Source organism: Homo sapiens, chromosome 4 (genome assembly GCF_000001405.40).
Source record: "Homo sapiens chromosome 4, GRCh38.p14 Primary Assembly".
Classification (NCBI taxonomy): Eukaryota; Metazoa; Chordata; class Mammalia; order Primates; family Hominidae; genus Homo; species Homo sapiens.
In genome coordinates, this window is record NC_000004.12 from 87,356,456 (window position 1) to 87,369,264 (window position 12,809).

The window sequence follows — 12,809 nt, forward strand, 5'->3', positions numbered from 1 at the left end:
TGCTGAGGGAAGTATGCAGTATACTTGCTGCTTCCAGGACCCCATGTGTAACATACGCCAGTTATAGAAAATTCAGAGAAGTCTAGAAGGATGTTTATCAAAATTTTGAGAGTGGTTTCCACTCAATAGAGGGTTTTAAGGAAATTAAAAAAGAAACTTTTCGATTTGTATTTTTCATTAACATTGGAATTTAAACAAATAAGTATGCATCATGTTTACAAAGACATTAAAGCTATTTCTAAAGAGAGAAAACATTAAAAATTATCTTCAAATTAATCCTTTATAATTTTATTTTTTAACCAAGTAAAGAGTATGATCTGGTACTCCTTTCGGAGGCTAATCTCTAGATTACCTCCAAGGGAAGTGTTTTTCACATGTGGTCTTGGGTTATCTCTATCAGAATCACCTATGATAATCACCTTTTTTAAATGTAGAGTTCCAGGCTCCCTTCCCTGCCACTACCCTACCCCAACCAAACCCAGTAAGTCAACATATCTGAGGGTGAAGCCCCAACATAGTTCCCAAGCACACCTGGTGACATGTATGCATATTTAAGCCTGTGAATCATTACTCAGGAGAAGAAAAAAGGAAGAGTTAGCAAGTTTACCAATGTCATTCATATTTACTTTTTTAGTCACGCTCCCTTGCTTTCTCTCTTTTTGGCTTTCCACCTGTTTTCCCACAATCTGCAGAAACTGAAATCAAAATGAACTAAGAGCTTTAACTATCAGGTGTTTTCAGGATTAAAACATTTAGGAAAACCCACAGAATGGCTGGTATTCATAGCAACCACCAATCCTTTTGTCTCAATTTCTCAACTTACCTTGTACTTGGATTTTTGATGAAGCCAGTGTTTACGAAATTAGGACACAGACATGTTGTTTTGACTCCAGTTATTTGTAAGGCAGCCAGTTCATCTGTCAAAGTTTTATGAAATCCAACAGCAGCAAACTTGCTTGAACTGAAAATAGAGAGTTTACAAAATAATTCAAGAATTCTGAAATGTCTGCCTGTTTTCCTCAGTTCAGCATGGTCCTCTGCAGAGCAATGTGGGCATTCCCTGAGTCTCAGGCCCCAGCCCAGAGCTACTGCATCAGAGCCCACATCTTACAAGATTCTCAGGTAAATCTGTAGGCACATTAAGGTCCAAGAAGCCCTGACATAGAAGATTTACTGCATCTTAGCATCACTTACGGAATAAGAACATTTCCTTAAAAAGCCTTTTAAAGAAAATTAGTAGAGTATTTGTTTTTGTTGTTGTTCCACAAAATTCAGTGTCACTATAAGCTGTTCCTTATTTACTTTAAGATGTCCATAGAATTTGCTGAAAACTTTTCCTGGATAAATCCTATTCTTCCTTTAAGTCACAGCTTCACTTCCTCAAAGAGGCCTTTCCTAACCCCCAGTCTAAATTATTTTCTCATTATATAGTAATTTTCAGTTTTCTATGATAGTATCTATCTCAGATTTGTAACTGAACATTCATTAGAGAAATTTTTTTTTTTTTTTTTTTTTTTTTTTTTTGAGACAGAGTCTTGCTCTGTCACCCAGGCTGGAGTGCGGTGGTGCGATCTCGGCTCACTGCAAGCTCCGCCTCCCGGGTTCCCGCCATTCTCCTGCCTCAGCCTCCGCAGTAGCTGGGACTACAGGCGCCCGCCACCATGCTCGGCTAATTTTTTGTATTTTTAGTAGAGACGGGTTTTCACCATGTTAGCCAGGATGGTCTCGATTTCCTGACCTCGTGATCTGCCCACCTCGGCCTCCCAAAGTGCTGGCATTACAGGCGTGAGCCACCACGCCCAGCTGAGATTAAATTTTTTAAAACATCTGTTTCCCACACCTTTCCTATAAGCTCCATGACTGTTTTGGTCACCAGTGAATCTCCAGGGCCCAGCACAGTGCTTGGCTCTTAGGTGCTCAATGAATATTTGTCAAATGAATGAATCACAATGCAAAGCGTTTATTTTAACAGCTCTTTCATTTGGAAGTAGTAGTGAAATTACTTATTCTAAATGGACATTACTTTCTCAGGTTTTTTTAATTTAAAAAGGGCTTTATTGAGATATAAATTCATATGTCACACAAAGCATTCACTTAATGTACACAATTAAATGGTTTTTGATATATAATTAACTTAAAAGTTGTGGTATAATATATATCATGTAAAACATGTCATTTTAACCATTTTTAAGTGTGCAATTCAGTGGCAATAATTATCAGATAATCTTTTATTCTGTTAAATCTGTATGAATTAGCAATTACACAAAGTAGCTATACATTCTGGCCAGTTAATCTATGCTTTGGAAGACAGAAAGCTGTGGAAATTTTTTAAAAAATTTTAAAAAAAATTTCTTACCTTTTTAAAAAAAGTTTAGGCACTTATTGAAGCTGATATGGTTTGGCTGTGTCCCCACCCAAATCTCATCAACAATTGTAATCCGAATTGTAATCCCCACATGTTGAGGGAGGGCACTGGTGGGAGGTGACTGGATCGTGGGGGCAGTTTTCCCCATGCTGTTCTCGTGATAGTGGGGGAGTTCTCACAAGATCTGATGGTTTTTTAGGTGTTTGGCAGTTCGTCTCTTGCTCTTACTCTCTCTCGCTGTCTCTCTCCTGCTGCCATTTAAGACATGCCTGCTTCCCCTTCCTCTGTAATTGTAAGTTTCCTGAGGCCTCCCCAGCCACGCAGAACTGTGAGTCAATTGAACCTCTTTCCTTTATAAATTGGCCAGTCTTGGGCAGTTATTTATAGCAGGGTGAGAGGGGACTAATACAGAAGGCTTAAAAGAAAGATTGTTAGATTAAATTATATGAGATTAAAAGCTTCTGTATACTGAAAAACAACATAAATAAAAATCAGATCTAAAATAGATTACTAAGTGCTAGACATTGCCCTCAGTTATTCTGATGCATTTTGGAGTTTTTTGGGGAGTCTTTATCTGTCACTTAGGCTGGAGTGCAGTGATGCAATCATAGCTCACTTCAACCTAGGAACTTCTGTGCTCAAGCAATCCTATCACCTCAGCCTCCCAAGTAGCTGGGACTACAGGCATGTGCCACAACACTTGAATAATTATTTTACTTTATTGTAGAGATGTGGGTCTCGCTACGTTGCATAGGCTGGTTTCAAACTCCTGGGGTTAAGTCATACTTTTGCCTCAGTCTCTCACGGCGCTGGGATTATAAGTGTGAGCCACAGTACCTGGCCTATTCTAAATAATTATTTTGTTTAATCTTCATAATACCCCTATAAAATATATTAAGATCCTCATTTACCAAAGAGGAAACTGAGGTAAAGATGGGTTATCAAACTTGCCTGAAGATACAAAACAAAGTGGCAGAATCAGGTTTTACGTGTGGGTAGTAAACCAGGTTTATATATGATATATTCTAAACTTTATTAACTCCAAGCAAATTAAGAGGCAAGTGACAAACTGGTAAAGCATTTGCAACATATAAGACAAGGATAAGGTTAATATATGGCAACTTTTATAAAGGAATAAGACAATACTCTAATAGATAAATGGCTAAAGGGCATTCATGGAAAAATCATAATATAAAAATGCCAGTAGATGTAGGCATATAAAAATGATTTACTTTAGGAATAATTCATATAAAAGCAAAGTAAAACAAGACGGAATTCTTGCCTAGCAGTAATTATAAGGACAGAAATTTTCATCTGAGTTTTTTTCAATGTACAGATATTTCACCTCATATAATTGAATCTAGCAATCTTTTCTTTTTAAGGCTTCATTCAATATATGTCAAACTTTCAAAAAAGTGACAAAAAACACTTTCTTTCCACAGCTTTCTATTTTCCAAAGCACAGGTTAACTGGTAGCCTTTTCTGGAAGGCAGTTTGGCAAAAGGTATCAAATTCATTAAAAGTATGCCACGCTCTCAGATCCGGTGTTTATCCCAAGGTAATAATCAATGATGTCTCCAAAGATTAATGTTCAAGGATAGTCCCTGGAGTGCAGTTCATTAAAGCAAATAGTTGGGAATAATGTGAAATGTCTGTAGTGGACAGCTGTTGTTTTTTCCCATCAGCATTTGTGTCCCCTTGTTCTGGTAATACCGCTGTCACCAAATGCATACAGTGATTGGCTCCAGGCTAGTCTAGTCACTGACCTCTAGAACAAGAACGTTTGAAGCCACTGTTGAAGTGATGTTTTTTTTCCCTTCCTGCTGGACTTGGAATTTAAAGGGTTTAACCCTGGAACTTCTGGTAGATATCTGGCCATCAGAGGAAGACAGCCTGCTTGAGACTTTAATCACAGAGCCAAAAAATTCCTCTTTGGGCCTGGGGCAGTTTAAGTTTTTTGTTCCTTGCAACTGAAAGAGTGACAAAATACCAATGATAATGAGTAAATTGAATAACTAGTGGCACGTATGTGCAGTGGTATCCCACGCAGAAATAGAAAACGATGTTGCACATAATATTTATTAACATATATTATTTTAAATTAAGAGCCAAAATTATATATTTTTTCAATGCATAACTATATGTTTGCATTTAAAATATCCTTAAAAATTATAACATGCATATCATGATTATTTTGTCAGAGGCATGTAAACCACAGCAACTCCATCTTAAATAGGAGCTGGGTAAAATAAGGCTGAAACCTACCGGGCTGTATTCCCAGATGGTTAAGGCATTCTAAGTCATAAGATGACATAGGAGGTCAGTACAAAATAAATATAGGTCATAAAGACCTTGCTAATAAAACAGTTTGCAATAAAGGAGCCACCAAAACCAAACCCACCAAAACCAAAATGGCCACAAAAGTGACCTCTGGTCGTCCTCACTGCTACACTCCCACCAGCGCCATAACTGTTCACAAATGCCCTGGCAACGTCAGGAAGTTACCCTACATGGTCTAAAAAGAGGAAGCATGAATAATCCACCCCTTGTTTAGCATATTATCAAAAAATAATCATAAAAATGGGCAACCAGCACCCCTTGGGGCTGCTCTGTCTATGGAGTAGCCATTCTTTTATTCCTCTACTTTCTTAATAAACTTGCTTTCGGCCGGGCATGGTGGCTCATGCCTGTAATCCTGGCACTCTGGGAGGCCAAGGCGGGCGGATCACGAGGTCAGGAGATCGAGACCATCCTGGCTAACACAGTGAAACCCCGTCTCTACTAAAAATACAAAAAATTAGCTGGGCATGGTGGCGGGCACCTGTAGTCCCAGCTACTAGGGAGGCTGAGGCAGGAGAATGGCGTGAACCCGGGAGGCGGAGCTTGCAGTGAGCTGAGATCGCGCCGCTGCACTCCATCATGGGCAACAGAGCGAGACTCTGTCTCAAAAATAAATAAACTTTCTTTCACTTTGCACTGTGGACTCACCCTGAATTCTTTCTTTCATGAGATCCAAGAACCCTCTCTTGGGGTCTGGATCGGGACCCCTTTCTGGTAACATCTTTCTGGCAACCACGAAGGGACTAAAGTGCAGAAACCCTGACCCTATGGCTACCTTTGGGTAAGTGTTGGGGTCCTGTAACATATTTCTGGCAGACCATAGAGTTACAATACTGAAGAGACCCCTGACCCAAAGGAAAATCATCAGGGCACAACAGTGGGCTGACTTTGAGTAAGTGGGGTGCCTACACCTGGGTAAAGAATGGGATTGGGTTAGAGGCCCAACTTAGGGGAGTTAGAGTCTCTCCTAAGACAGAGTGGGTTACAGGTCCTTCTTAATAAAAGGCAAGGACACTTGACTGACGTCAAGTTAGAGGCCTGACTTAGGAGGATTAGAGTCCCTTCTAAGATTTAGGAGGTTAGGCCAGGTGCAGTGGCTCACGCCTGTAATCCCCAGCACTGTGGGAGGCCAAGGCGGGTGGATCACTTGAGGTCAGGAGTTCGAGACCAGCTTGGCCAACACGGTGAAACCCGGTCTCTACTAAAAATACAAAAATTAGCCAGACGTGGTGATGCATGCCTGTAATCCCAGCTACTCAGGACACTGAGGCAGGAGAATTGCTTGAACCCGGGAGGCCGAGGTTGCAGTGAGCCGAGATTGTGCTGCTGCACTCCAGCCTGGCCAACAGAGCGAGACTCCATCTCAAAAATAAAATATAATAAAATAATAAATAAAATGAATAAGATTTAGGGGGTTAGAGGACCCTCTCAGTAAAGTCCCTTTCAGCTAAGAACAGGTTTGGCACTATGGGATGTTAACTGCTGTTCTCTTTGGATTAATCTGCCTTTGTACTCTTTGCTGATGGCTATGGGTGACAGGGTTAGGCATGCACAGGATCGTGGGACATGGGGAGCTTTTTCCTGCCTAAAAGGGGAAACTTGAGAGCTGACAGGATTGCTGAAAAAGATCCCTGCTCAACCGACAGCAGCAGCCTGAAGTTTTCAGTGTTGCTGCAATAGGTGGGTCTTTCTCTGGCCTCCCTGATCATTTTGCCTTCCCCACCCTGCCACAGGCAATACTTTCCGTCTCTACTTTTCCTTTCCCTTTCTTATCTTTTCTATTTCTCAGGGCGACCTTCTTGCCCAGAGACCACATGTTGAAATTCCAAGTCAGAGGTTGGATTAAAGATGATGGGGCCCAACTGGGGGTAAATTTAAGCCTTGCCAGTTTGATATTGGGTGCTAAGCAGAGTAGCTAATGTCTATGTTTTATCATGCATATTTTGCTCTGGTCAAAATGAAAAAAAAAATTTTTTTCCTTTATGATGCAGCTTGGCCCCCGGGGAGATGGTGCCACAAGCCCGATCACTAGGGCTGCTCAGGGAAAAGGAACCCAGAAGCCTGGCATGCCAGCAAAAGGCTAAGAATTTGTTACCAGTCAGATTTTTAGCTTCTCTCTCTCTGTGCAAACAGTTGAATGAATGGAAAAAAAATCAGTGTTTATCACCTCTGTAAAGACTTAATTAATGCGAAAAAGAATTCTAAGGCTAGTCTTAAGCTGGTGTATTTTGTGCTATGAATTCGTTTTTCCGTGTAGAGGGGTACTTCAGGATAAAACATGGGCTTAGAACACCTGTAAGCCCGCTTTTCAAGACTACCCAGCAAGCTGGTCAGTAACAAACTTGGTTGCAGGTCCCTGAAACAAACAAAAAACCCGATGAAGTCTCCACCTTGTTTTATGTGCTTGGGAGCTTGACCTTTTAACCGCATGGCAGTACCTTCTCTTGGGCTCTGTCTTCCAGGGAACAAGAATTTTAAAGTTCATGTCATAGCCAGCTCTGAAAATCATATTAAATAGTTAAAAGCCTTTGCAAGCTCAAAATTAACTAATCTAGACTACTTCTGAGAAAAGAAATAGACACTGCCCAGACCTGTAGCTCAGTAGCTAAGGTTTTGCACTTTCACAGTGGCAGTCTAGGTTCAATTCCCCACCCAGGAAATAAGTCATTACTGATTTAATATATGTGTCTATTCTCTTCTCCTCCATGGACTGTCTTCAATTTTCCTTCTTCTAAGCACCTAGGAGTTTACCTTTGGTAAAGTTCAGAAGCTGGAAATATTGGCCGCTTGGCATGGCTAAAGTCGGGTAATAAGAGCTCTGAAAGGATTTCTTCTTTAAAGAGCACTATGGTGAAAAGTCAGCTTAATTAAAAGTGGAATAAGCTATAAATATATTTAAAAGGCCTTTATGTTTTTCTCTTCTTGAAGCTTGTTTTGCTGGAAAAAGGTTTTTTCTTCTCAGTCAAGTGAATTATTTTTGTTTTTTTGTTTTGTTTTGTTTTGTTTTGTCTTGTTACTATTAATGCTCACATGAAAGGCCCGTAGATAACTTCTGGTAGCTTGGGACTACTTGGGAAAAACAAAGGCAGCACCACAGATCCAGTTTTGGGAAAAAAAAAAAAAAAAGAAAAAAAACCCCTCTGTTTTCCTCATGAGACCCCAAGAATTAAAAGCAGATAGATTCCTCTCAAAATCAAAGGCTCTGTTCTGTTTTGCATTGTGTTATCTGACGGTTTTGAGTTTGGGGGAGGGGGGTTATCAGCAATTACTTTGCATTATGAGAGAGCTTTGGTGTGTAACAACTAGGTAGGAAATGTACTTTAAGGGGTGGCTAATAGTAGTTATGGAGGGATACTTGACTCTGCACACTTGGATCAGAGAAGCATGCTCTAGGCCACCTGGAAGATAAGGCAACATCCTCACCCCTCACTGGGAGATGAGACTCTCATGAGGATGGGCTGATTACAAAATGGGCTGATTGGCTTTAGGTTGCCTTGCAATGAAATGCACAGTCGGTAAAAGCACTGCATTGTCTTCTCCCGTAGTATTTCCCTCCTTTTGGGGATCCAGGATCCAGTATAAAATACCACCTTTAATTTTGGAGATCTGTCTGCCTTCAGCTGCTTATTTGCTACTTATTTAGCCCTAGAAATGCATGCTGTCCCAGCTCTGTTCCTCCAAGGGCTCCACTCTGAAACCTGTCATCCAATTAAGAAACTGGCAAATGGTGGGGCGAGGTGGCTCATGCCTGTAATCCCAGCACTTTGGGAGGCTGAGGTGGGCGGATCACTTGAGGTCAGGAGTTCAAGACCAGCCTGGCCAACATGGGGAAAACCCGTCTCTAGTAAAAATACAAAAATTAGCTGGGTGTGGTGGTGGGCGCCTGTAATCCCAGCTACGCGGGAGGCTGAGGCATGAGAATCACTTGAACCTGGGAGGCAGAGGTTGCAGTGAGCCAAGATCATGCCACTGCACTCCAGCCTGGGTGACAAGAGCGAAACTTTGTCTCAAAAAAAAAGAAACTGGCAAACGAAAAACTGTATAAGTGCTGAATCTTCTATTTATAGTGTATGTTTATATATTACAAAGCTCTAATCAATTGACTTAGAAAAGTAAGTGCGTAAATATTTTTTCAGAAAAATAGAAACTAATGCCTTTTTGTTCGTGTGACTTTAGTAATCTTTTGAAAATAAAGACAGTTTTAAAGTTTATTGGTAAAATAAAATGTCTTAAAAATGTAGACATTTGGTCTAAATTAAGGTCAGATATCAGATTTGCTAAATGCTTTAAGGACAAACTGTTTCTTTAACTTTTGAAAACTGTTCTATTTACCTACTTTAAAGCCATCAGATTCTAGATAAGGCCTCATGCCCCTGGCTATGCTGGAGAGTCAGCCCTTATCTGCACTTCTGCCTGGTGTGTCCTAGACTAGTCTCCACACCTAGTACATAATTAAAATCCCTTACTTAACCAACGTTTTCATCAAAAATAAAAGTTGCTAGAAGTTAGCATTGTAATGTGTAATTAAGACTACTGAAGAAACAGTTTTACATGCAAGGTGTATAAAAAAGGTGAAATGTGTTTTTGGTTAAAAAAAAAATTGTAAGAAGAAGCATGGGAATGCGGATTATTTTCTGCCTAGATTAAAGTGTTAAAGGATTGTGTTAAGTGAAAAAAAAAAAAAGATTTAAAGAAGTTGTGGAAGGTTTTTTTTAGATGGAGTTTTGTTCTTGTTGCCCAGGCTGGAGTGCAATGGCGTGATCTTGACTCACCGCAACCTCTGCTTCCCGGGTTCAAGCAATTCTTCTGTCTCAGCCTCCCAGGTAGCTGGGATTACAGGCATGTGCCACCATGCCTGGCTAATTTTGTATTTTTAGTAGAGACAGGGTTTCTCCATGTTGATCAGGCTGGTCTTGAACTTCCGACCTCAGGTGATCCACCCATCTTGGCCTCCCAAAGTGTTGGGATATACAGGTGTGAGCCACTGCACCTGGCCTTTGTGGAAGGTTTATAAAAATTAATTGTAAGAGATTCTGTGTATGAACATATTAGCTAAAGTTAAAGGGGTATTATTCAGTTTTTCCATAAATTAAACATTGGAATAAAAGCACAACAGGTTTCTCTTAGAGGACTTATCTGCGCTTTCACAAAAAAATGTAAAGGGTTATAAAGGTTTATAAAATCTTACCTTAGGATTAAACATTAAAATTGGGTAAATATGTCTCTAAGGTTTTATTAAAAATTGGGTTTAACATTAATAATACATTAATGTAAAGGTGAAATTTCGCTTATTTGGTATAAAAATCATCCAGGAAGCATTCTCAAATGTGAAACAGTGTTTTGCTTTCTTTGGACTATATTTGTATAAATATGTTATTGGTATATGTTCCAAAGTTATAAGAAACTCCTTTATTTCTAATATGACTTAGTGTATGTTACTAATAATTATAATTGTTATGTAAAATTTTGTATGCCACAAAAGTAACCAAATTTCCTTATCAATTGTGGCTTTAATAGTGGCTGTCCTAAAGTTTTTATCATCCACAGACAGTTGTTGTCTTGTTTTAATCTTCTTTAAAAGGTGGTTTATAATCAACTATAGAATTCTAGCAGATGTTCTTAAATGCAGGTTGCTAATAACTTTAGAAATTGTAACATTAAAATAAAGAAAACAACTTTCGAAACTCTCATAAAAAGCTGGAATGTTCATGAATAACAAGTAGAACAGGAGTTAACTGAATTAACTGAACCAATAGAAAACTGAAGTAATTTTTTTTAACTTTGCTTAAAATATTGCTGATCTTTTATTTTTCAAAGGAAACTTCTTTTAAGCTATTTACAGCTTGCAGCAATTAAGTAAAATATACTCCTATGAACAAAATTTGAAACATATTTGTTTCTCTCTACCTGATTTCTCCGGAATGGAAACCAATTGTAAGTATTCTTAACTTATGGCAATATAGTTGTTTGTATAAGTGCAACAAAAATCTGTTTTCTTTTGTAATGGGACACTATTGGAGAAATTGGTTATTTTACCAAGGCTTTGACTGGAATGGTGTGCTTTCCTTTAAAGAATCAAACTTGACTTGTAAAGCCAATAAAAGCCCTATGGGAAACTGGCCTCATACTTTGCCTACACAGTCCCTGTACAGGGTTTCTGACCTATGGTAAGTAAAGAATGTCACTTTCTTACAGGTCCAGGAGGCCCAAGTTAACTTGGGACCTCAAAAGAAAAGTGTTTTACCCAACTCATAGGTATTTAAGGGTACAAACCCATGGCAGGGCTTAGCTTTAAAAAAGTCTTACCTGAGATTCCTTATAAAACAGAGTTCCATCAAAGCCAATTAAAAAGCCTGTGTGAAAAATAATTATTCTCGCTGCACTTTATACAAATAATCAGACCAAGTATAATAAAGCAAATCAGTCTTACCATAATGTGTCTTTAATAAAAATGGGAAACTGGAGAGAGAATATTATATTTCAAGAACTATAGTATACTTGTTATTAAATTCTAGTCTCAGTTGTTTTTAAGTTTGTTTCTGCAATTTAGGCTAACCCTGTTTATTCCTGTAAACCAACCAGGGATCTCTAACTGCTGCTCAGAAGAAACAAGAGGGATGGGTAATGTAAAATTCTAGGCACATTGCAATCAGCTAGCAACCCCATATCAGCTTGGTCTCAACAGTTGCCCAGTTCATGGAAAGCCTTCTAATTTAGTTTACTTGGAATAACTTTACTTACTTTGCTTTACTCTTATGGAATATATTGCTGTTATACCCTTTGTGTGGGAACACAGGACAGGCTTACTAAATGTTTTCTTAAACTAAATACTTATTAATCTCCCAGATATCACCTCTTGTCAAAACTCAAGAGTCGGCTAGGCACGGTGGCTCATGCCTGTAATCCCAGCACTTTGGGGGGCCGAGGCGGGTGGATCACAAGGTCAGGAGATCAAGACCATCCTGGCTAACATGGTGAAATCCCGTCTCTACTAAAAATACAAAAAATTAGCCGGGTGTGGTGGCGGGCACCTGTAGTCCCAGCTACTCAGGAGGCTGAGGCAGGAGAATGGCATGAACCCGGGAGGCAGAGTTTGCAGCGAGCTGAGATCGCACCACTGCACTCCAGCCTGGGTGACAGAGCGAGACTCCATCTCAAAAAAACAAAAAACACACACACAAAAAACTCAAGAGTCATGAATGGCCCTCGCCACACTGATGCTTTCTGACTAAGCTCCTCTCTACCCTGAACACAAGAGACCCTAACAGTTAGGCAGGAATATCATGGCCCCATTCAGCCTGAAGAAGTTACAAAAGATGGATTTTCATCCGTCTGCAACTCTTAGGATTAAGAGTTCTCTTATAAAAGGGAAGGGGGAAATGTCAAGAGGCATGTGAAACAGAACAACTCCATCTTGAATAGGAGCTGGGTAAAATGAGGCTGAAACCTACCGGACTGCATTCCCAGACTGTTAACGCATTCTAAGTCACAGGATGAGATAGGAGGTCAGCACAAAATACAGGTCATAAAGACCTCGCTGATGATAAAACAGGTTACAGTAAAGGAGATGGCCAAAACCCATTAAAACCAAAATGGCCACGAGAGTGACCTCTGGTCGTCCTCACTGCTACACTCCCACCAGCGCATGACAGTTTACAAATGCCATGGCAATGGCAGGAAGTTACCCTACATGGTCTAAAAAGGGGAGGCATGAATAACAAACTGCTTGTTTAGCAGATCATCAAGAAATAACCATAAAAATGGGCAACCAGCAGCCCTTAGGGCTGCTCTGTCTATGGAGTAGCCATTCTTTTATTCCTTTACTTTCTTAATAAACTTGCTTTCACTTTGCACTGTGGACTCACCCTGAATTCTTTCTTGCACGAGATCCAAGAACCCTCTCTTGAGGTCTGGATCGGGACTCCTTTCCATTAACATTTCTGCATGGTGAAGCTATCCATAAATTTAGTTTTTTCTTTTACTAAACCTTATTTTCTGATTTTACTTAAGTGACCAAAAATGCAAGAATATATTGAAAGTCAGAGTTAATGATCTTGAGTGTGTAAAAGGAATAACATATTTTTCAACTTTATGGTGAACCTAT

The 12,809-nt window shown here is 39.6% G+C and overlaps 1 protein-coding gene across 1 annotated transcript in view; it reads right to left on the reverse strand.

Moving 5' to 3' along the window:
* The window catches only part of HSD17B11 (hydroxysteroid 17-beta dehydrogenase 11), a 54,674-nt gene that overhangs the window by 19,941 nt on the left and 21,924 nt on the right, over positions 1–12,809 (reverse strand). The window contains exon 5 of the mRNA NM_016245.5: positions 824–961. Within this exon, the coding sequence (NP_057329.3) occupies positions 824–961 (138 nt within the window). The remainder of the gene's footprint in view (positions 1–823; positions 962–12,809) is intronic.